Source organism: Homo sapiens, chromosome 1 (assembly GCF_000001405.40).
Source record: "Homo sapiens chromosome 1, GRCh38.p14 Primary Assembly".
Taxonomy (NCBI): Eukaryota; Metazoa; Chordata; class Mammalia; order Primates; family Hominidae; genus Homo; species Homo sapiens.
Window position 1 is genome coordinate 243,112,978 of NC_000001.11, and position 23,077 is coordinate 243,136,054.

General features: G+C 38.2%; 1 protein-coding gene across 27 annotated transcripts in view, besides 2 other annotated features; it reads right to left on the reverse strand.

Moving 5' to 3' along the window:
* Window positions 816-1,567: an enhancer, noted in NCBI's record as "OCT4-NANOG-H3K27ac hESC enhancer chr1:243277095-243277846 (GRCh37/hg19 assembly coordinates)". NCBI's record gives its function as "activates a minimal SCP1, AML or CMV promoter by ChIP-STARR-seq in naive H9 embryonic stem cells {active_cell/tissue: H9 hESC(naive)}" and the evidence as "EXISTENCE:reporter gene assay evidence [ECO:0000049][PMID:30033119]".
* Window positions 8,835-9,338: an enhancer, noted in NCBI's record as "NANOG hESC enhancer chr1:243285114-243285617 (GRCh37/hg19 assembly coordinates)". NCBI's record gives its function as "activates a minimal SCP1, AML or CMV promoter by ChIP-STARR-seq in naive H9 embryonic stem cells {active_cell/tissue: H9 hESC(naive)}" and the evidence as "EXISTENCE:reporter gene assay evidence [ECO:0000049][PMID:30033119]".
* CEP170 (centrosomal protein 170) overlaps window positions 11,451-23,077 on the reverse strand; it is a 131,358-nt gene continuing 119,731 nt past the window's right edge. For all 27 annotated transcript variants that reach the window (XM_047435483.1, XM_006711843.5, XM_017002951.3 and 24 more), the window contains 3 exons: window positions 16,383-16,476; window positions 15,272-15,323; window positions 11,451-13,761 (listed from right to left, as the gene is read on the reverse strand). In XM_047435483.1, coding sequence (XP_047291439.1) covers window positions 13,472-13,761; window positions 15,272-15,323; window positions 16,383-16,476 — 436 coding nt within the window. In that variant the 3' untranslated portion in view covers window positions 11,451-13,471. The remainder of the gene's footprint in view (window positions 13,762-15,271; window positions 15,324-16,382; window positions 16,477-23,077) is intronic.

The window sequence follows — 23,077 nt, forward strand, 5'->3', positions numbered from 1 at the left end:
CAAAGTGCTGGGAGTATAGGTGTGAGCCACTGTGCTCCACTCCTATAAATCTTTAACAAAATGTAGTTTACATACTTCTCCTTTAATCTCAGATGGCTGTTTTTGTGTTTTATCTCGTGCTCTAAAATTATCCTAGCCTATATGCTGGAATGGGTGAAGGCCCCTTAAACAATAATGGAGTTAGTTATGTTCTTTTGCTGTTTCACTGTTATACAATGTGAAATCTAAAAATGTCGATTGCATGGAAACAGAGAGTAGAGTGGTGGTTACCAGAGGCTGGGTGGCTGGGGAGATGTTGGTTAACGGATGCAAAATTTCAGTGAAATAGAAGAAATAAGTTCAAGAGGTCTATTGTAAAACATGGTGACTCTGGTTAATAACAATATATTGAGCTGGGCGTGGTGGCTCACACCTGTAATCCCAGCACTTTGGGAGGCTGATGCGGGCAGATCACCTGAGGTCAGGAGCTCGAGACCAACCTGTCCAACATGGCAAAACTGGGTCTCTACTGAAAAAAAAAAATACGAAAATTATCCAGGCATGATGGCACGTGTCTGTAATCCCAGTTACTTGGGAGGCCGAGGCAAGAGAATCGCTTGAACTTGGGAAGTGGAGGTTGTATTGAGCAGAGATCGGGCCATTACACTCCAGACTGGGTGACAGAGTAAGACTGCGTCTCAAAAAAAAAAAAAAAAAAAAAAAAAAAAAAAAAAAAAAAGCCAACATAATTGTATTCTTAAAAATTGCTAAGAGTAGATTTTAAATGTTTGAACTACAAAAACATGAAAAGTATGTGAGGTAAGGCATATGTTAATTAGCTCAATTTAATAACCATTCTACAATATACACATATTTCAAAACAACATGTTGCCAACAATATACAGAATTTTGTCAATTGAAAATAAAATTTTTTAAATCCAGGAAAAATTGTAGAGATTTATTTTTCCTGGATTTGGTGATCTTGTGGCTTTTCTCCCCCCAGCTTTTTGAAACTTTTGGTTTGTTGTGACTTCTAGTCTCTAAATATTCACTTTACTGCCAAATTTTGTATTCATACTTTTGTATTCTTTGTCTTTTAAATGGCTTCCTAAATGGTATACATCATCAGGCCCTCAAAATGTGCTCCACCTGCTTTGAACCACAAAACCCCTGGGGACCCTAATCCAAACAGCTTCCACCCTCCCCAGCACTCTCTCGCTTGCTGTGCAGGCTTTCTGTGAATGCTCCAGGCACGCAAAGGAAGGAAGCCAAATGCTCCAAGCTGCTCGATGTCTGACTCCTGGAGCCGCAGCTCCCATGACTTTGTAAAGGGCATGCACCCTGCAGGGCATGTGCCCCAAGCACCAGGGGTTCCTCCTACTCTCTTTGCTTTCGAAAATGAGGCAGCAGGAAGTGATGGAGAGCGCTGTGGTCATCAAATGTGGATGAAGTTAAAATTTGTTAACCAAATGCAAACACTTCGGGGAGTGAAAGTGGGGCACTATTCATTTTTTTTTAAAGTCAGGCTCTCACTCTTGCCTCAGCTGGAATGTAATGATGTGATCAGGGCTCATTGCAGACTGGACCTCCCAGCTCAGGTGATTCTCCCACTTCAGCCTCCTAAGTAGCTGGGACTACAAGTGTGTAACAACATACCCAGCTAATTTTTTTGTATTTTTTGTAGACACGGGTTTTCACCATGTTGCCCAGGCTAGTCTCAAACTCCTAGACTCAAGTGATCTGGATGCCTAGACCCCCCGCAAAATGTTGGTGTTAGTGGTGTGAGCCACCTTGCCTGGCCTCCATTTGCAAGATTGTCCCAAAGGAAGTGACCTTGGCTGAAACCCTGGCTCTGCTTCCTCTGGCCTTGGGGCGAGAAGTAAATAACCAAATCTGCCTGGGCTTGTTTCCTCACCCCAGAAAATGGCAGTAAGAGCTGCCTCACAGACCAGGTACGGTGGTGCACGTCTGTAATCCCAGCAATTTGGGAGGCCAAGGCATGAGGATTGCTTGAGCTCCAGAGTTTGAGACCAGCCTGGGCAACATAGTGAGACCCCACCTCTACAAAAATCAAATTAGATGGGCATGGTGTTTTATGCCTGTAGTCCCAGCTGCTTGGTAGCTGAGGTGAGAGGATTATTTGAGCCCAGGAAGGTGGAGGCTACAGTGAGCTATGATCACCCCACTGCACTCCAGCCTGGGTGGCAGAGCCAGATCCTGCCTCTGAAGAAAAAGAAAAAAAGAAAAAAGAAAAAGAACTACATCAGTATTTTGTTAAAGGTTAAGGTTAGATTACCTAGATATAGGCTCTGTTTCTCTCCACATATATCTGTATATCTATCTATACACACACGTATATATTTAGAGTTATGTATATATATGCAGAGAGAGGTATAGCTATAGATAGATCTATATAAATATATATAAACAGCTATCTCTCTTTACATATGCATATATATATTTATGTATCAATCCACAATACAGAAACTTGGATATGCACAAAATATCACATTTTCTCTAAACCAGCTGAATTTTTATTTCAAACTCCCCTTCACAGCAGACTGGGAAGATGCTTGAATTCAATCTTTTCGAGGTATCCCACTGCCCCCTCCGAGATATGCTACAAACTCCCACACGGTGTCAAGCTCTGCACAGGAGTTACCTTGGAGAGCCTGTTGTCCCGGGAGCCTGACCCGTGAGTCCTAGGGGTCCCTGCTGCTTCCATGTGGACATCAGGCCAAGGGGCCTCTTTCCCAGGCTGCCCGCAGCCCCAGCTGCCCAGGCACACTCTGCTGCAGCTTTTTCTCGGGACGTTGTCTCCCCAGTGGCTCTGCGGTGACCTCTCTGGGGACCTAGGATCCTCATTTTTTAGTGTGGAAGTAATCCTTTCTTCACATCCAGCTAAGACATTCTATCAAAGCATGAGAATCTGCTTCCTTTTCATTTCTCTTAAAAAAATCATATACATTCTAGGCTGGGCGCGGTGGCTCATGCCTGTAATCCCAGCACTTTGGGAGGCTAAGGCAGGCAGATCACGAGGTCAGGAGATCGAGACCATGCTGGCCAACATGGTGAAACTCCGTGTCTACTAAAATACAAAAAATTAGCCAGGTGTGGTGGTGCACGCCTGTAGTCCCAGCTACTTGGGAGACTGAGGCAAGGGAATCGCTTGAACCCTGGAGGCAGAGGTTGCAGTGAGCCGAGACCACACCACTGCACTCCAGTCTGGCGACAGAGTGAGACTCCATCTCAAAAAAACTCATATACATTCTACTAAGCGCGTTGGTCCTGAAAATCTCAAAACCAGAGTGAACTGCAGTGGGTTTTGCTTTCTACCCTGCCACATCTCTCCCCGCAATGCATGAGCAATTGGGTTAGCCAAAGGGAGAAACATGGGGAAAACAAACTTTCACAATACTGCACTGGCCACACGGCACCTGCCATAACGAAGGGGTTCGGTAAGTGCTTGGCCCTTTTCCTGGAAATGATACCATAATCACCAGGATATACTGATCCAGCCTGAATCACTGGCAGCCTTTACGTGGGCAGAAGTGAAATGAGCAAAACATTATGGTGAAGCAATAGGACTGAACATTTCTGGGAGAAGCAGCTGAAAGAAGAAAAACTTCTGGACGAAAGAGTAAACACCTGGGGAGTCACTCATTAAGCAGAACAGGAAGAGAGGCAGAATTACTGACAAAGAGCTAACAAAACATTTTTTCCAGAAATCTGGGGGAAGACAGCGAAGAGAACAATAGCTGAAGTCCACAGAACAGCCACTAATACAGCAAGAAGATACCTTAGAGCTCAACTACTCAACATCGCCTCCACCCCATTTTACAAATACTGAGGCTACAGCTGAAAGCACTTGCACAAAACCAATAACACATTAAGTTTAGCTGCAAGATTCCTAACCACCAATTAGCTTTTTACTATAATTACAATATGTTGTCTTTTTATGACTGAAAGTAAAGAGGATTGAAGAAGTCAGTTGGACCAGGGTTCAGATTTCGACTCTCTCCCTTACTTTGTAACCTAGAGTATTTTATTTGGCTCTAGCCTCTACTTCTTCTATAACATAGGACTAAGAATTCTTGTGTAAGAGTCTGGGTTATTGTGAAGATTAAATGAGGTACTGAAGGACCCAATACAGTGTCAGCACATTGTAGCTGCTTGTTTGAGTGGCGATAGTAATACTCTTTCCAGTTCTTCCAGTATGATTCATTTTGATAAACTAAAACTCTTCATGAGAAATATCCCATTTGCTTTTTTAAAAAAAAAACGAACACATATAGCCAAGATTTTATTTAACTCATTAATTAATGAGGGAACCAATAGCATGTTAAAACCAATACAAAGGAAAATCTAGAGGACATGCAGGCAAGAAGGAATGCAAATAAATGCAAAACTGGCCACTTTCATGGCACCGTAACCGGTTGCGTCTTCACCTGACATGTATCCATTCTCACAGTGTTATAAAGAAATACCTGAGACTGGGTAATTTTTAAGAAAAGAGGCTTAATTGACTCACAGTTCTGCATGGCTGGGGAAACCTCAGGAAACTTACAACCATGGCAGAAGGCACCTCTTCACAGGGTGACAGGAGAGCGAGAATGAGTGCAAGCACGGGGAATTGCCAGACTCTTATAAAACCATCCGATCTCGTGAGACTCACCCACTACCACGAAACAGCTTAGGGGAACCGCCCCCATGATCCGATGACCTCCACCTGGTCCTGCCCTTGACACGTGGGGGTAATGGGGATTACAATTCAAAGTGAGATTTGGGTGGGGACACAGAGCTAAACCATATCAAGATGCATCATTCATTATTTTCTTTTTTTGTTAACAATTTTATTGAGAGATAATTCACATACCTGTTATAAATATATAGGCAATAATTTACCTGTTGTAATTGTACAATTCATTGGTTTTTTTTGTTTTATTGAGATGGAGTCTCGCTCTGTCGCCCAGGCTGGAGTGCAGTGGTGCGATCTCGGTTCACTGCAACCTCTGCCTCCTGGGTTCAAGGGATTCTCCTGCCTCAGCCTCCTGAGTAGCTGGGATTACAAGCGAGTGCCACCACGCCTGGCTAATTTTTGCATTTTTAGTAGAGACGGAGTTTCACCATATTGGTCAGGCTGGTCTTAAACTCCTGACCTTGTGATCTGCTCGCCTTGGCCTCCCATAGTGCTGGGATTACCGGCGTGAGCCACCGCGCCCGGCCAATTCAATGGTTTTTAATGTATTTACAAAGCAGTGCAACCATCACCACAATCAATTTTGAATCTTTTCATGATGCCAAAAAAAACTCTGTGTCTTTTAACCGTAACTCTTAACCTCCCACTTCTACCCCCCATGCCCAGCCATAGTCAGCCCTAGTCTGTTTCCTGTTTCTACAGATTTTCCCTCATAGACATTACATATAAATGGAATCATACAATCTGTAGTCTTTTGTGGCTGGCTTCTTTCACTTGACGTACTGTTTTCAAGGTTCGTTCTTGTTGGATCATGTATCAGTGCTTCATTTCTTTTTATATTTGAGTAATATTCCACTGTGTGGCTCATTTTAAAATACTGACTGTGCATTTAGTGTGCTTTCATGAGAAGCAAAATATGGAGACCTCTGAGATCTAATAGGTTAGAGCTTTCAGTTTCTCTCCAACAGAGCAGATTCCTGATACAAATATCAGTTTCTGCATCCAAGCCATGAGGCTCAGTACTTTTGTCTTCCGGCTCTTTTTTTGAAATTTATATTTGCTTTCATACAGCTTAGCACAACCTGGCTAAAAGTAAATCCCACTCAGGCCATTGGCCAGTTTTCCATGGTGGCAAGCACAGTGGACTCTTCTGGAACTGCATGTCTGGAAAAACAACATAAAACAAAGGAGTCTCTAGAGAACATCAGCCAAATATTATAATTTGATACGGTGACCTGAGGTCTGATCTGGGGGCATGTACTTAGAAATATCAAAAGAAAGTAGGCAGCTTCACCTCCTCTTACCCTCCCAGCTGTTCTCAGAAAGCTGTGGATGAGTTAAGTTTGCCTCCCCACCTTCCCGCTCACCCGTCGTCTGCCCTTTTACCTGCTAGCACTTGGTGTCCTTCAGGGTTGTTGCCACTCCTTCCAATGAGGGAACATCTGACCAAACTACTGAATTACTAAGAAATTGCTGATTCTGCAGGAACTTTATATTTCCAGAGAGGAGGCCAAGGAAAGGCCCATGTGATTTGTAGACAGAATCTGTAATAGTGGGGGCTCCCTGAAGCCTTTTCCTTCAAACTAAGTACATAATCTTCTTTTTCTTTTTTTTTTTTTGGAGACAGAGACTCACTGTATTGCCCAGCCCAGGCTGGAGTCCAGTGGCATGATTTCGGCTCACCACAACCGCTGCCTCCAGGTTCAAGTGATTCTCCTGCCTCAGGCTCCTGAGTAGCTGGAATTACAGGCACCCACCATCACGCCCTGCTAATTTTTGTATTTTTAGTAGACATGGGGTTTTACCATGTTGGCCAGGCTGGTCTCGAACTCCAGACCTCAAGTGATCCACCCGCCTCAGCCTCCCAAAGTGCTGGGATTACAGGTGTGAGCCACTGTGCCCAGCCCCAAGTGCATAATCTTAGTTCAGACACAACTGAGATCAGAATTCTGCCTGCTCCTTTTATTTAATTAATTAATTAATTAATTTGAGACAGAGTCTCGCTCTGTCGCCCAGGCTGGAGTGCAGTGGCGCGATCTCAGCTCACTGCAAGCTCTGCCTCCCAGGTTCACGCCATTCTCCTGCCTCAGCCTCCCGAGTAGCTGGGAGCACAGGTGCCCGCCACCACGCCCGGCTACTTTTTTGTATTTTTAGTAGAGACGGGGTTTCACCATGTTAGCCAGGATGGTCTCCATCTCCTGACCTCGTGATCCACCCGCCTTGGCCTCCCAAAGTGTTGGGATTACAGGCGTGAGCCACCATGCTCGGCCTGCTTGCTCCTTTTAATCCATCTATCCATCCATCCATCCATCCATCCATCCATCCATCCATCCATCCATCCAATAAACATTTATTCAATACCAGTTTGGTCAGTCTTTAAGCCTAGTGCTAGGTAGAAGGGAGCAATTTGGGCTGAAAACTTTTTCACAAATTGTGTTAAAATTATGTATTTGCCTCTTGTGGTAGGGTTTGAACTTCCTCTTCGTTAAGGACAAGGACTATATTCATTCCTGTGAATATATAGATGATGATTACCTAATATGCTTGATCATAGAGATACTTAAATAAATGACCGCATATATGTTCAGCAGTCAGCCTAGTGCTCATCTGTTGGTGGTGTGGATGAGGAACCAGGGATCTCTCCAAGTGGTAATAGTAGACTACGGAACCCAAGCTGACCACAGTCTGTTAGCACACTTTATTACACCTGCTGGAGCTAAATGAAAAGGAATACAGTTCAATGATGGCCCTTCACAATGACCATTGCTTGCTTTTGTCCTGTGAAAGTCAACTTCTTCCCTCTGAAAGCTGCTTGATTCCTAAATTGACCCTGGAGAGGAAAGCAGTAGCTCTGGAAAAGTCACAGTGACACTTCCTAGTAATAGGATGCTTTGGAGAGCTAAGAATCAGTACAGCAATGCAGGAGAAAGAGGTGACATGTTCCCCAAAAAGCAGTTTGAGGAAGTAATTATGTGCATCAAAGTTACAGAGAACTATCCATGCCATTTTAACATGGATCAACTTTATTTAGAAATAGTTTACATATGATAAAAAGAATCATTTTAAATGTACCTGGTGAGTTTCATGACATGTACTCACTCCTGTGAATAGCTGCCGCCATGCCCAAAAAACTCGCTTGTGATTTTGTTGTAGGCAATTTCCTCTCACCTCCCACCCTACTAGCACTGATCTGTTCTCAGTCACTATCAGTGTTTTGTCCTTTCTAGAATTTCACATAAATTGACTCATAAAGCATGCCCTTTTTTGGGTCGGTTGCTTTAGCTCAGCACGTTTTTGAAATCGGCCCATGTTACTGTGTGTGTCAGTAGCATGTTCGTTTCTATTGCTGAACGGAATCTCATTTTATGAATGTTTCACTATTTGTGATACATCCTATTTGTGATCCACTCACTTGTTGGTGAACATTGGAATGTTCCCAGTTACCAGCTATAACAAATATGGCTTCTATAAGCATTGTGTACAGGTGTTTTTGTGGACATATGATTTTATTTCACTTGGGTAAAATACCTAGGAGTGGAATGGCTGGGTTGTGTGGTAGGTGTACATTAATAAGGAATTTCTAGTTTTCCAAAGTGGTTGTACCATTTTTTTCTTTGTGCCTTTTTGAAAATGCTGTTCATATTATGAAGTCTTATAGGGCAATTAAAATTTAGGGTAAATTGATTTTTTTTTTTCTCTCGAAGGGAAGACTCTGGGCTATAAACATAGACAGACTGGTAACAGGAAGCAGACGTGGCAAAGTTCACAGATCCTCCATATGCTGGACATGATGGTCTTTGCCAAACAGCTGAAAGTCTTGGCCATGAAATGCTGCTTTTCATCACCGAGTAGACACTATGGAAAAGCAAGTGAGAAGCCAGAGCTCCAGAGACTTGGGTGCAAACATTACCACGGAAATAGCACAGAGACTTTGTGTGTTTATTTCGTTTCAAATTTGATGGAAATTTTTCTCATTCAAGAAAAATCCAACTGTCACTACCCTTGCTCATTATTGCAAATTGGCATAGGAGCCCCCTACACTTTTTATTGTTTTATCTCTAAGTGTCAGGTTAAGACCATGCTGCTTTCTGCCTTGCTACACTCCAGCCACTGTTTGTCCTGAGAAATTTCCATGGTCATGCTCTGTTAGTCCAAGGGGTGGTTTTTTACTCCATTTTATTTGGCCTTGCTCAGAGACAAGTGTTGTAACAAATACCTTGGGAGGCAGCTCACTGGTCACGTAGCTCTGATGTGGAGTCACCAGAGTTTCTATTGGCAGCCCTGGGTTTCACCTCTTTAAAACAAGTGGAGAGTACAGTCAGCTCATAAACCGACGTGGTTCTTCATAGCATTCTTCCTGAAGCACCCAACATCCAGCTTTCAAGGAGACAGTTCATTATCTCTTTCAAAGAATCTGTTTCACATAACAAAGACATTCTTAGCATTTGGTCATTGCTTGTCATCAGTAGAGAAGCTTACTAGGAGAAATGTCAGGATCCCCAGCTCTAGAAGTTCTACTCAAAAGCAGAGGAAGGGCCTGGTGACCTCTTCGGGTCTGTGGTCACGAGACAAAGCTGTAAAGGGTGAATACAAGTCACTTGGTTTGTCTAGGCTCTACCAGTTGTTTGCTGGGTGACAGCCCGTGGAGAATGGTTATAAACAGTTTGGATTTCCAAGTCAAATACGTGTTGATCAAATCCCAACTGGGCTGCTGCCTCAGTTCCTTCATCTCTAATGCAGGAGTAACAGCTTATTAATGAGGTGTGAGCATTAAAAGGGACAGTGCAGGTAAAGCATTTATTATACTGCCTAGAAAAAACAGCCCCTCACTCCTTGTTATATTTGTTTCAATTACTCTAAATATGACGTTGCTGAACTAGTGTTGAGCATTTCTAGAGCTAATGTACTATGCTTCAAAATTTAAATAATTTTTCATCCTTCAGTTCAAGGTTAGACCTCACAGTAGCAGTAGTAAGTTATAGTGGTCATAATAACTCTAAAATATTTTAATTAACAAAATCTACAAAATGTTTGTTGTACATTGCAGGATGCACAAGAGTTAAAGACAACTAAATATTCAACAAGAATCTGTTCCAGGTGGTGAGGTGTTAGAGACAGAATGTGGCTGACGGGGAACTTTTCCTTATGGTCAAGATTCAGGAAAAGCAGCAACAAACGTAATAGTGAAATAGCAAAAGAATGAACATAACCAATTCCATTTCCATTTAAGAGGCTTTGAGCCATTTCTGTACGTAGGCTAGGATGCTTTTAGAGCACTGGGGTAAAACACAAAAACAGCAACCATGTAGTTTTTGAAACTAACTGTGATGAAAGCATGTAAACAACTGTGTCGTGTTAAAGACTTACAGGAAGAAGCAGGCTTGACTACTGTCACATGAGAGACCATCACTCAAAGACAAAGACGCTTCATAAACCTCCCCCAAACCCTTGCTGGCAGCCAGATGCCTGTGGTTGTTGGCTCCCTGCCTGTCCCCCTTACCTAAACATAGAAGACAAAAAAAAAAAAAAAAAAAAGGCTGCATTTGTCTCCTACGTGTAGAGATCCCATTCTACCTCACCTTAGAGTGAATTGTTTACACAGCCATCTCCCAATAGACTGTTTCTTGAAAGTAAGTACGTACATCTCAATTGATGCTGATTCAATTAAATACATTTTTATTTTGGTTTCTAAGAACTTTCTGTATTATGCAAACACAAAGGGGTTATGCAAACACAATGAAAAGGAAGATTTGAAATGACAAAGAATCAGAAAAAGCTTTTTGAAGGAGAACATTTCATAAAGTCATAGACAACTTAGACTAAAAGGGACTTGGATAATGACACTAGTGTCCTAAGTTTGCAGATGGGAGGACGGAACACACTGATAGCTAGGAGGGAGCGGGTCTGGATCTCAAACTTCCAAGTTTGGTTTCCTTTCCAAGTTAGAATCCTTTCAGGCAGAGATGTGGCAAGCAAATCCAAGGAGAGATGAAGGAGACAAAACGGCACAGATGTTTCAAAGCAAAGGGACTATCCAGGAAATGAAGATTACTTTAGTTACCAGGGAAGAAACGTGTATATGTCATGGGGGAAGGGAAGAGAAAATGCACGCATGTGGCACAGCCCTTTGTGGTGCGGTCAAGTGGAGGAAGCTTTATGAAGAGGTTGGTGGGACCTTGAAGCAGGAAGGAAGGGGAGGAAGACGCAGGGTACAGAAGGATGAAAAGCTCATGGTGGTCAAGAAACTTGTAAATGGTGGTAGATACTATAATGGGACACATAGATACGCACGTAAGAAAAGGGCCAGAACACACAAAGTCTCAAAAGGTTAAGCTGTGAAACTTATAATTTTGAATAATAATAATGAGACATTCAAGATTCTTGAGCTTGATAGGATAAAAAAAAAACAGTATAAATTGACAGTTATTGAATTTAAGATGACAAAAGTATTTTAAATTTCTACTTTATTCCCCAAATACATCACTGTCATAAAGCTTTCTGATGATCTAAAGCTGGTTAAAAATAAAGACCTTGTACATGCACATTACTTTAGGACATGAAGCTAAGTGAATTATATTGATCAGAATCTGCTAAGAAAATTTTTTTCTTTAAATAGTCAAACTAATAAGAGATTTCACAGTAACCACATATTAATAGAACTGGAGGATTCTTTCTTTTGCTAAGCCTTGGGAAATGGTTTATAATCATTTGATAAGTTGATGAAGTATTAGCAAGCAAGATGGTAAAAGAAATAAAATATACAATCATTGTATAAAGTTCCAGAAACACTTTATTTAAAAATGGAGTTGTAAATGCATAACAAAATAACATAAGTAATAAATGTAACAAAAATAAATAAGGAGGATAATGTATTCATACAAAATAAAAATAACATAGTAAAAGGCCAAATGTTTATAATTGAACCAAACTGTGTAAACACTTAAACAAGAATGTAAGCAGAGTAGATTCTAGTATTTTCCTAAACTCCTTACCTTCTACTTCCATGTGGATATAATCAGTACCCAAATATTAAATAAAAGAGGGAGCAATGCTGATTATTTTGTCCAACTTTTTCTTCAAATGGATTGACCCTGTTTTAACATTTCGTTTATTCCTTCAAAGCATTTGTATCTTTCCATTTATGTTCTTTAAAACCTTTTTTCAGTCTTCCTTTATTAGACAGAATGGGGAATTTAGCTTTACAAGGAGAATAGTTCATTTACCTTTTTTTTTTTGTATTTAAAGAAAAATAGGAGATCCATTATAGTTTTGTTTTTACATCTCTATAAAGTTTTTTTGCATCTTTATTAATTGATCCAACAATACAGGATTTAAAAAATCCTGTAAAGTCTTGAAGTGTATAGAGTTACTTTGTTTCTTAAAACAAATATAGCACAGGATTATTGTGGAAATATTAAAGACCATTTCATAAAAGTTGCAGTTTAACCTTTATAGACTGATGGGGTCAAGGGGGAAAATCCAGGTCTACTAATAATATTTAACTGAATTAAGATACACCCCAATTATAGTGTTCTGGAAACACAAAGGTAATTACTTTTCTTTTTAAAATTATCCAAATGTGAACTTACTGGAAAGAGAAAAAACAAGTTTAAAGAAGAAATTTTTCATAGGCTTCTTGTTTAGTAGCACAGGCCAAAGGCCTTTGTCGTCGTCTTGCAGGGTCCTTATAAATGTGTAAGACAGACAGCATTTACTATTGAGTCCTACAGGGAAACACACAGAAGCAATTCATTGCTTGGGAGTGAAACTATCAACTAATCTTACGACTACTGGTTCTCCAAGTCCCCTAATGAAGAAAATTTTAACCTCATGATCATTTCAAGGGAATTTCTTTTTCAACTGTCACATATAAACTTGGTAACACAGGACCAATATACATGTTCTGAGTTTTAAAAATATACTCCACCTAAACTATCTGTCTAGTTTAATCTTTCTAGTTATCATTTAACCTAAAATGAGAGACCAAATCTTATTTCCATTAAAAAAAATGAAAAAAAGTGCCAAATTGATCTTTTTGAAAGTGGAGTAAAACACTGTGGGCTTAAAACAAATACAGTATTATCAATCTCCTATGTACAAAAAAGACGGTTAGTCCTTATTGATATATAGATATGTCCACCTACCACTCCCAGCAAATCTTAGTGCAAACATAATAGTTAATTTCCGTAAACCCCAAGACAATTTACGTATCAACAAAGTTATATAAATCACATCTATGTTGGAAAATTTTAGGACACAGAGTGACTGTTGTGAAAGGTCTGCTTTACTGTGGAGAGTACTTATGTCATTGTGTCCAATGGTAATGAGTACTAATATAAATCCTATTATTAAGAAGCAAATAGAATGGTTTAACAAATCTGTACAGATGAAGAAGTCCATTTCAGGGAGCAGCTTGGCACAGGAGACTTAGGGGTTCAGAAATGTTGGCTATTTAGTTTGCTTGTAGGTCACAGCATGGCTTAAAAAAAAGAAAAAAGATCTATGAAGGGAAAGGGTGTAATCATTAAATTCAATTTGAAAATCATAAAACCACAAAAGGCGACACTGCCACAATCTGCTTTTTCCTATTTGTGCATCAAGTGGTTATCTAAATAGTTTGAAAGGATTGATATACTACATTATACGTCAAAAATAAATAAATAAAATTAAGAAGACAGGGATTCCAAGATTGTAGCTGACCAAGCTGTCTTGTTTTGCGTACATCAACACTATGCTGCTTCCAATATTCCTAGCCATTCCACAGGTAATGATTTTTCAACAATCAAGAGAAAGTCATTCTTGTACTGTAACATCTTCCTCTTCCCCATCGGGGTTGAATCTATTGAAATGTATACTGAAATCAGCCTCAGATTCAGCATTCTCAAATTCAGCTGCGGCTGAAACAGCAGCAGGATGAAGAGCCCTAGCTTCTGGTTGGCCAAGTGTTGGTGTCTGACCCGGGCTGTGGTGGTTATTCACAGGGCTGGACTTCTGTTTCGGTGGAGATGGCAACATAGCACTGGGAAATCCCATGTTGTTCAGAGCCTCCAAAGTTCCATCAGGATCAATCATAGCATTGATTGCTAAAGGGCGGGAAAAGGAAATAATTTTAGATGCAGTTACATTCACATATAAACACTGTTCATGATTTGGATAATATTTAAACTATCAGTGCGTATGTGATCTTAAATGTGGCTAATCTTCCAATATTATATTTAAAACTCCATTCTTAGTTATTCTGTAGCTGTACTGTAAATCACCCAGCCCTGAATACTTTCTCTGGGTCCTTTGATGTGGCACTTACGGGCATTTCAGAGACTTGTAAGTCTGGTATTTGAAGATGTGGAATTCAAGAAAAATCTTGTTGAAATTTGTCTTCATTATTGTGAGAGGACCGAGAAAATACTGAATATGATTTTTAATAAACATCTAAACCCACATCACTCAGATAACTGAGGTATTAGCTGCTAAGTCAGGGTTCAGAGTAACCTCAAGGCTGGAGAGGCCAGAAGAACATCAGCATACTTTGAATGCTACCATAGAATACGGTCATTTAGCCTGGCCAGAGTGCTAGGGTTATCAGCTGTATACACCACTGAGATACAGGGGTTCCCTCAGAGCCTACAGACTAATATCACAGGGCAGCTTGCAAAGCCAAACAGACTTGCTGCCTATATGGAAGGGGTCAGTTAAAGGTCAGCTTTCAGTCCAAAAGATCTTTGGGTTGACATGGAAAGTTCTCAGGCGGTGATTTTCAATTTGGCATTGGGCAGAGTAGGGAGTTGGGAGAAGGAAGTAACATAGATGTAAGAATCATGTAGAAGGGACTTTTAAAAGTATACCCCCAGTCTACCAGCTAACAAGCACTGTGTTAGCAAGCCACTTTTACTCATGGGGTGTACCATAACCCTTAGGTGTGTTGGGGCTAAATAAAGATGAAAAATCATTTTGATAGGATCCACATAAGTACCTATGATTATTCGATAGATAAAGACTCAGTAGAATTAGCAGTTGACTATGGAACCTGCCTGTTGTACCACTGGGGACTTCTGGGTCAAGACATACATAGGCATTAATGCACAGCCCAGCTCTGACAAGTTTAGAGGGCAGCCTCTTTCACTTTCTTCTCTCCTTTCTCTTCTGGTCTCTATGGCCAATATGTACTCATTTCTTGTCAACCAAACAACTATTATTTCTATTAGAATGTAAGTTTGTTTCAGGTTACACCACCAACATAATTTAAGAACTGTCAAATCACACAAATAATGCTAATTAACACAACTTTATTATATATTTTTCACATATTATTTATATGTAATACATAAAAAATTTCAATTAGTTTATGACATCTAGCCTACTGTCAAACCTATGAACTAAAATATGCCCAACATATATCTTTATTACATTTTAAATTTTTATACTGGGTTTAAAAAAATTCCTTTTTATGAATAATGTGAATGTTTGAACTCTGTATTTTATGTATGTCATTACATTTAATCAAATAACATCCTAACAATATTTTAAGAAATACCACTCAGAAGGCACTTATTCTAAATTATTAGCTCTTTATACTTAATTCAGTAGTAAATTTACCTTGCAGCTGCTTTTCTACTCTTTTCAGTTCCTGTAAGATAGAAGAAATCTCCTGCAGGGAAAGCAATAACAAAAATTAGCCTACTTTTAGCTAAATGTTATCACTTTACAAGCAATGAATTTCACTCTCACTTTATTTGGAACACTTAATATTATCTACATGGTACTTACTACATTAATAGCAACATGATATGAAATAATTATGATATCTAGCAAACAAGATTCAAATTAAAATATTTAAACTAAAATGAAATACAATAACTTTTTCAGTGAGATGATTGTAGCAGATGAAAAGTTTAACATTTACTACTATTTAAGCAAAGATTTTTTTTTTTTGAGACCGAGTCTCACTCTGTCGCCCAGACTGGAGTGCAATGGCGCAATCTTGGCTCACTGTAACCTCCTCCTCCCAGGTTCAAGTAATTCTCTTGCCTCAGCCCCCAAAGGAGTTGGGATGATAGGCGCCCGCCACAATGCCTGGCTAATTTTTGTATTTTTAGTAAAGACAGAGTTTCGCCATATTGGCCAGGCTGGTCTTCAACTCCTGACCTCAAGTGATCCGCCCTCCTTGGCCTCACAAAGTGCTGGGATTATAGGCGTGAGCCACAGTACCCGGCCGCAAAGATTTTTAAAATTCTTATTAATCAACCTTGCAATAACTATGTAAAAATGCCTTCAAATTATCTTTGTAAAAACATATAAACTGCAACCTCAATATTATAATTATATTCTGAGCAATGAAAATCTGTACAAATTCTTTTAAAAAGAAGATAAGCATTATATTAAGTAAACGGAAACGACTTATGTCAACTTAATATTTTCATGTTAGATTTGGTTCTCTTTAAAAATTTCATGTTTCTAATGTTTAATTATTACAAGAACAATCTATACTAGTAAGAAACACAAAAGGCTCCTCCTTCATACCCTCTGCAACTTTGAAACAATCAACATTTTAAACCTGTGAGTCAGTAGAAGAAATAAAATTTCCCAAAATTTTGCATTTATATCTTCTTTTGAAAAAGCAAATCAACGAACAGCTCAAAAATAAGGGTCTTTTCCTTAAAATAAAACTCTATTAAAATGTTTTAATCTTCAAGAAAAATTACTATACCATGCTTGAGGTTTTCACAATAGGGACTTCACTTTCGGCTCTTAATTTGCTTTCTATGTCATCCCAATTCCGATCTTTGTCTTTAAATAATATTCTATAAATCAAAAAACATAAGCATATAACTTTTTATATTTTAAAAACCTATTACTTTTTTGTTAATAATACCAAAGCAATGTATCTTTTCAAAGGTACACAAAGAAAAAAAACCAACCACCGCATAAACTGAGAATTAAAATACTAAGCCAACAGTACCAATTAATTCATGTGTATGAGCTCCAATTGAATGCTTATTAATACATGCATAAATTCTTTACTGTTTATCTTATTCTTTATTGAAAACAAAATATAAAACAAATGTAAATGATGTTATGACCTCAAAACTTTAATATTTATAATTTACAATACAGTAATGCCCTCTTATCCACAGTTTCTCTTTCCATGGTTTTAGTTAGTGGCAGTCAAGCATGGTCCGTAACTATTACAGTATTTTGGGAGAGGGAGAGAGAGAGAGAGAAAAAAAAAGACCACATTCACATAACTTTTTTTTACAGTATATTGTTACAAATGTTCTATTTTATTATTAGTTACTATTGTTAATCTCTTACTGTGCCTAATTTATAAATTAAACTTTATCATAGGCATGTATGTGTAGGAAAATACACAGTATATTAGGTTTTAGAATTATCTGTGGTGTCAGGCATCCAGTGGGTATCTTGGAACAACATGTATCACCTGGGTATAAGGAGAAAAGACTGTGTAACTGTCACTTATAAAGAAAATGCAATTTTATTCAGACAGAATATATGCAGTATAGGAATAAGTGAGATGAAAATAGGTTGAATTAGGTATAAACAATTGTGTCTGTTAAGACCTCTTTATATGGGAATAAGCACCTTATCGATCAAGAAAAGTGTGTATATTATTTTGAAGACAAAAAATTGGGAGTACTTACTGTGCTTTTCTTTAACAATTGTTAATTCGTGTTAGTATACTTGCACATAATAACCTATTAGGAATTAGGATGCTACCCTTTTGATAAAAACAATTGCCAATAAAGATAATTATCCTATCATTACCCTAACATCAAATAACTTATAAAATAAAGGACCACAAAATTTTGACGTGTCTTTCAAATGTGGGACACTTTTCTAACACTTTAGAGTCTATCAGACATGATTCAGCAGTCTTAGATGTAAATACTAGCTACTTTTTTGGTTTCTTTTAAATTTTTTTCAGTAAGCCTGGAAATCTAGTTTAAACAACACTATATAACCTCATGTAAATGTATTACTACTGCAAGCTGATCAGCATTTAAGTAGTAAACTAAGTTAATATTTGTGCTGGTATTTCTTCAAAGATCAACATGCCAGACTTACCTTATTTAAAAACATGAAACTCATTAACATCACATCAAGTCTGGAACATTTGCTTAAGGTGGCAACGGGTCTAGAATCTGGTATAAGAATATTCTTATGGCCTACTTATTAAATTTTCTAAACTCAAAAAAATGAACACCCTTGCCAGCCATCTTTTCTAAATTATTATGTTCTTGTAAAAGAGTCCTTGCAGCATTAGGACTGATGGAAAATAAGGAAATAATGACTATTTCATGGACCAGCTTAGAACTGTAATGGACTTATACAATAGAGAAAGACTCTGTTTAGCCACACAGTGCTAAAAATTCAGTGAATTTTTCCAGAGGATGGCTACTGAGTATAGTGTTTGTGGATCTAAAACTGTTAAACCATAGACATTTCACCTTTGGTGAAAATGGGTTTTTCACGGGTTGCCCCTGAAAAAAAAATGCCCCCCTGAAGAAATAAATGGTTTATTTTAAAATACAGTTTGTTGGCCAGGCACAATAGCTCATGCCTGTAATCCTAGCACTTTAGGAAGCCAAGGTGGGTGGATCACTTGATGCCAGGAGATCGAGACCAGCCTGGGCAACATGGCGAGACCTCGTCTCTATAAAAAATACAAAAAAATTAGCAGGTGTGGTGCAGATGCCTGTAGTCCTAGCTACTAAGAAGGCTGAGGTGGGAGGATTGCTTGTGCCCAGGGAGGTCGAGGCTGCACTGAGTGAGTGAGTTGTGAACATGCCACTGCACTCCAGCCCATCTCAAAAACAAAAAACAAAAAACAAAAAAACAAAAAAACAAAAAACAATTTGTAATATATAATAGAACAGATCTAAGAAGTCAAACTTGTCATTTTGGCATTATGAAATAAACTTTACTATAATATTTACTATAATATTTAATATTTAAATACTAGAGAATCAGAAAACCAGACCAAGAAATTAGTTTAGACCAGGCTATAATGACCAGAACTTGTTTTTGTTTGAAGGTCCTTATCAATTTTAAGCTGAAAAAATCATAGCTTTCAAAGTGATATTCAGATTATATTATAGATTCAAAATAAGCTAAACTTCAGCATGAAAATACATAAAATTCCAAAGCTTATTTCATTCAATAATTTAAGAATTAAGTTAAAATACTTTTGATAAAGCCATTGGTTTTAGGGAAACAAACAGAAGTCTCAGGCTCCTATTCTATGAGCCATAACCAATTCCCTAGTACTAGCCCTTAAAACATGCGAACGCGGAGTTGCGAATTGAGAGTCTACCAATGCAAGGCCATGCTACACAACCTAAGGGGGTCATTTTCACATGGAATGCAATGAGAATGCTGTACAACAGGAGTTCCTGTATAAATATTTAAAAATGGATTCCACAGACAGTGTTCATACAATGTAAGTACGCATGCCTCTAGGATGAACCCCAGTAGACATTTGAGGTTATAACTCCTGACACAAAGCTTAAAGACCAGTTGATTCTCAAACTACCCTGGCACTTTCCACGCAGAAGGCCCAGGTCTCTACCCCTTAGGTTTGGTTATCACAACTCAGACCTACCTTTGAATAGTATCTTCTTCCCAAAGCCTTCCCTAAACCTCCTAGGTGAAAGTGATCCTTCCTTTGCCTTTATATCTCTAACTGAGCACTAATCTATTATACGCTATCTTGTACGACAGTTGATTGCATATGTGCCTCACCTTGCCAACTACACTGGAAACTCTTTAATAATAGAAATGGTTTTATCCTCATTACCTTCCATAAAGCCTGCCATAGTGCTTTATGCATAGTAAAACTCAACACTCGAACTGAAGGCAATTCAAATACATTAAACATTCTGTATTTATGTATAACTTTATTGAGGCATTTTTATGCATCCTTTTTTAAACTTTATAAATTCTGTCACTTTCTGAGACAACACAGGTTATCAATCCATCAGCAATGTCTTCTTTGTTCTCAATTTTAGTTCAATGTCAAAGCTACAAAAAATATTTTTCTTTGGGGGAGACTACAGAACGTAGGAAAGCTGCTCCGTGGTAAGGAAGAGAATGGTACACAGCAGGTAATCTGTGAACATCTGCTGAATAAATGAATGAGTGGTTAAGACTCCAGTTAGCAGGGACGGACCTGTATTTCAGTAGGTAGGATGAAAAAACACTGTGTACTTGTTTACAGGTAAGGAGACTCCAGGGTTTTCCAGGTGCAAGCCACATGACCATACAAGACTCTCATGATATTTTTACAGATAGCACTGGTGTATCAAGAGGACCCATATTGGATATATTAGCTTCCTATGGTTTTTAATAATAAAATCCAAACTCCTTAACAAATTCTGCCAAAACAGATCCATCCTCATCTCTCTAGTGTCATCTCTCACCATACTCTGGCCCTTTCACTTCACATAGCTTTTGAGTAACTCCTCTCCTCATCATTCAGGACTTAAATTGCATGGCAATTTCTCTAAGAGCCCTTCTCTGAATTTCCCAAGTGCCCTTGCTATGGGCTTCCATAGTAACCATCCTATATTTCCCTTAACACACTGAACTATAATTAACTGTTTACCTGCCTTCTACACTCAAATGTGAGGACATCAAAAACAGTGCTAGACAAATAACATACAGTCAAAAATCATTCAATGAATGAATGAGTCTGGAGACTTTATTCCCATATAAGATGATCTTAACCAATGTTTATTTCATTTATTTATTTCTTTGGTTAATAATCCTTCCATAATGCCCCAGCTTTAGAAAATAATTTTAGTGGAACTAAAATAAAAATGATAACAATTATATATTACATTTAACTACAATGAATGCTTGAGCCAAATCATGATATTAATAAGCAGCTGTGTGATTGAGGCCTATAGATTTGTTTATTCATGTGTAAAAACTAGTAAGTTAAGCTTAAAATTTTTTTCCCTACAAATTTCAGTTAGGCTTTACCCCAGGGAATGGTGGACTTCATTTGTCTCTGGCCATAGGATATATTAGCAAATCATAGGTGAATGGGTTGTACGGTGAAGGGGATTCTCTTACTTGTGAAAGAAGTAAACCTAGGAATGATGGAGTCACTAGGGGAAAACATGTACTATATCTCACGTAAGACAATAACAGGGTGCTAATTACTTAATCACTGAGTGTGAGTAAAAGAAAAACAATGGACTCATTTATAAGCCCTATCAGGATTTATAAAATGTGGTATTTATAAACAGCATTCAACTAATTTAATTTCTCTAAAATCAATTATAAGCCTTAAAATTTTTTAGTTAATAAGGTTCCAATTTATACCTGAAATTAATATTGTTATTATACTTTTTATCTCATCAGTGTAACCAGTGATTTTAATAATAAGAAAAAGTTGATGCAGGTTATTGGGCTTCAAGTGGAAATAGAAAATGTGGGTAGTAAAATACAGGTAATATTCAAGTGAAATAATGAAATTAAGTCAAATCATGTGTAGATAGCAGAAATAGCTAACTTAATACAAGCTGACTGGTTTACATGATATAGAATGTAAATTTCATGAGAACAGGGGTCTTTGTTTTGTCAATGTCTAATTATAAAGTACCTAGAATGTACCTAATACTTATTTGTTAAGTAAATATTAAAATATTATTCTGTAGAAAATTAAGTCTATTTAAAATTCATAAGAATATATGGGAATTGATAAAGGTAAATTCCCTTTAAAAAAACAATGGATAGGTACGTAATGGTAGTCATTAAAAACACCTTCAACATTATTTATATGTACAAGGTACTCTTTACGAAAAGCCAAACGTTTTAAACATTCTATTGCTGTTTTTTGAGATAGGATCTTGCTCTGTTGCCCAGGCTGTGGTGCAGTGCCATGATCATGGCTCACTGTAACTCTGAACTCATGAGCTCCAGTGATCCTCCGATTTCAGCCTCTCAAATAACTGGGACTATAGGCATGTGCCACCATGCCCAGCCAATTTTTTTTTTTTTTTTTTTTAATCTCGCTTTGTGGCTCAGGCTGGTCTTCAAGTCCTAGGCTCAAATGATCCGCCTGCCTTGGCCTCCCAAAGTGCTAGGATTACCAGGCATGAGCCACTGCACCCAGACTCAGCTATTTTTTCACTAAGGCAGCATGCCTCATATGCCAATCAAATATGGAGGGGTCTGTCAATACATTTCACTCATACTCTTTGGGGAAAGTAAAGATCTAATTAAGAGAAAAGATCAAGGTACAAAAGTAGATAAAATATGATCAAGTTTGTATAGACGGTTGAGAAATGAACCCAGAGTGGGGAAACACACCCACTATTAGATATAATAAATATTTTTCTGGAATATTCATATTTTTTAACCATGTTGATGTATTACTTTTGCTAAAAAGCTACACATTTTAAAATAAATAGAAAAATGGGACAAGACGGTGCAGAATACATTACTTTTAACATAAGGAATTTTAAATTAATATTCTTTTAGGAGGCAATAAAGTGAAGAGAAAGTCTGGTACACCTTCAAGAAATTATTATTTATTTATTTATTTGAGACAGAGTCTCACTCTGTTGCCCAGGCTGGAGTGCAGTGGTGCGATCTCGGCTCACTGGAAGCTCTGCCTCCCGGGTTCACGCCATTCTCCTGCCTCAGCCTCCCGAGTAACTGGGACTACAGGCGCCCGCCACCACGCCCGGCTAATTTTTTTGAATTTTAATAGAGACAGGGTTTCACCGTGTTAGCCAGGATGATCTTGATCTCCTGACCTCATGATCCGCCTGCCTCGGCCTCCCAAAGTGCTGGGATTACAGGCATGAGCCACCATGCCCGGCCACCTTTAAGAAATTTTTAAGATACAGGCTCAAGATAAAAAGAAAGCTCTTTCTGTTTCTTAACATGCCAAGTAAAATTTACCTATATAGGCCAACTTTCTACATTTCCTTCTGAATTTCTCAATTTTTCTAGAAGATGATGCGAACTTCGTTTACAGTAACTTAAAACAGATTATTTTAAGTTAAATAGACTGTTTTTAAGAATACTTTAATTTTCAAATGGTGCTTTTCAAATTGTTTTTGAAAAAATTTAATGGCTTCTTGGTACTCATCAAATGCTGATAAAATATATTATTTCAATATATAAGCAATATAGAATTATATTTGTGTGGAATATTACAATTCACAAACCATGTTCAAATACTGTTTCATTACATTTTAAATTTTAATTATAGGAATCAGAAATAAGCAATAGCAGCATGGATTTCTGAAGTACTGTTGAATAAAATCTGTAAGTCTATTTATGTTTTGAATTACTAATAAATTTAAAGTTATAAAGTAGTACTGGATAGATATTTACTTTGGGACAAATTTTTCCAAAGGTAAACAT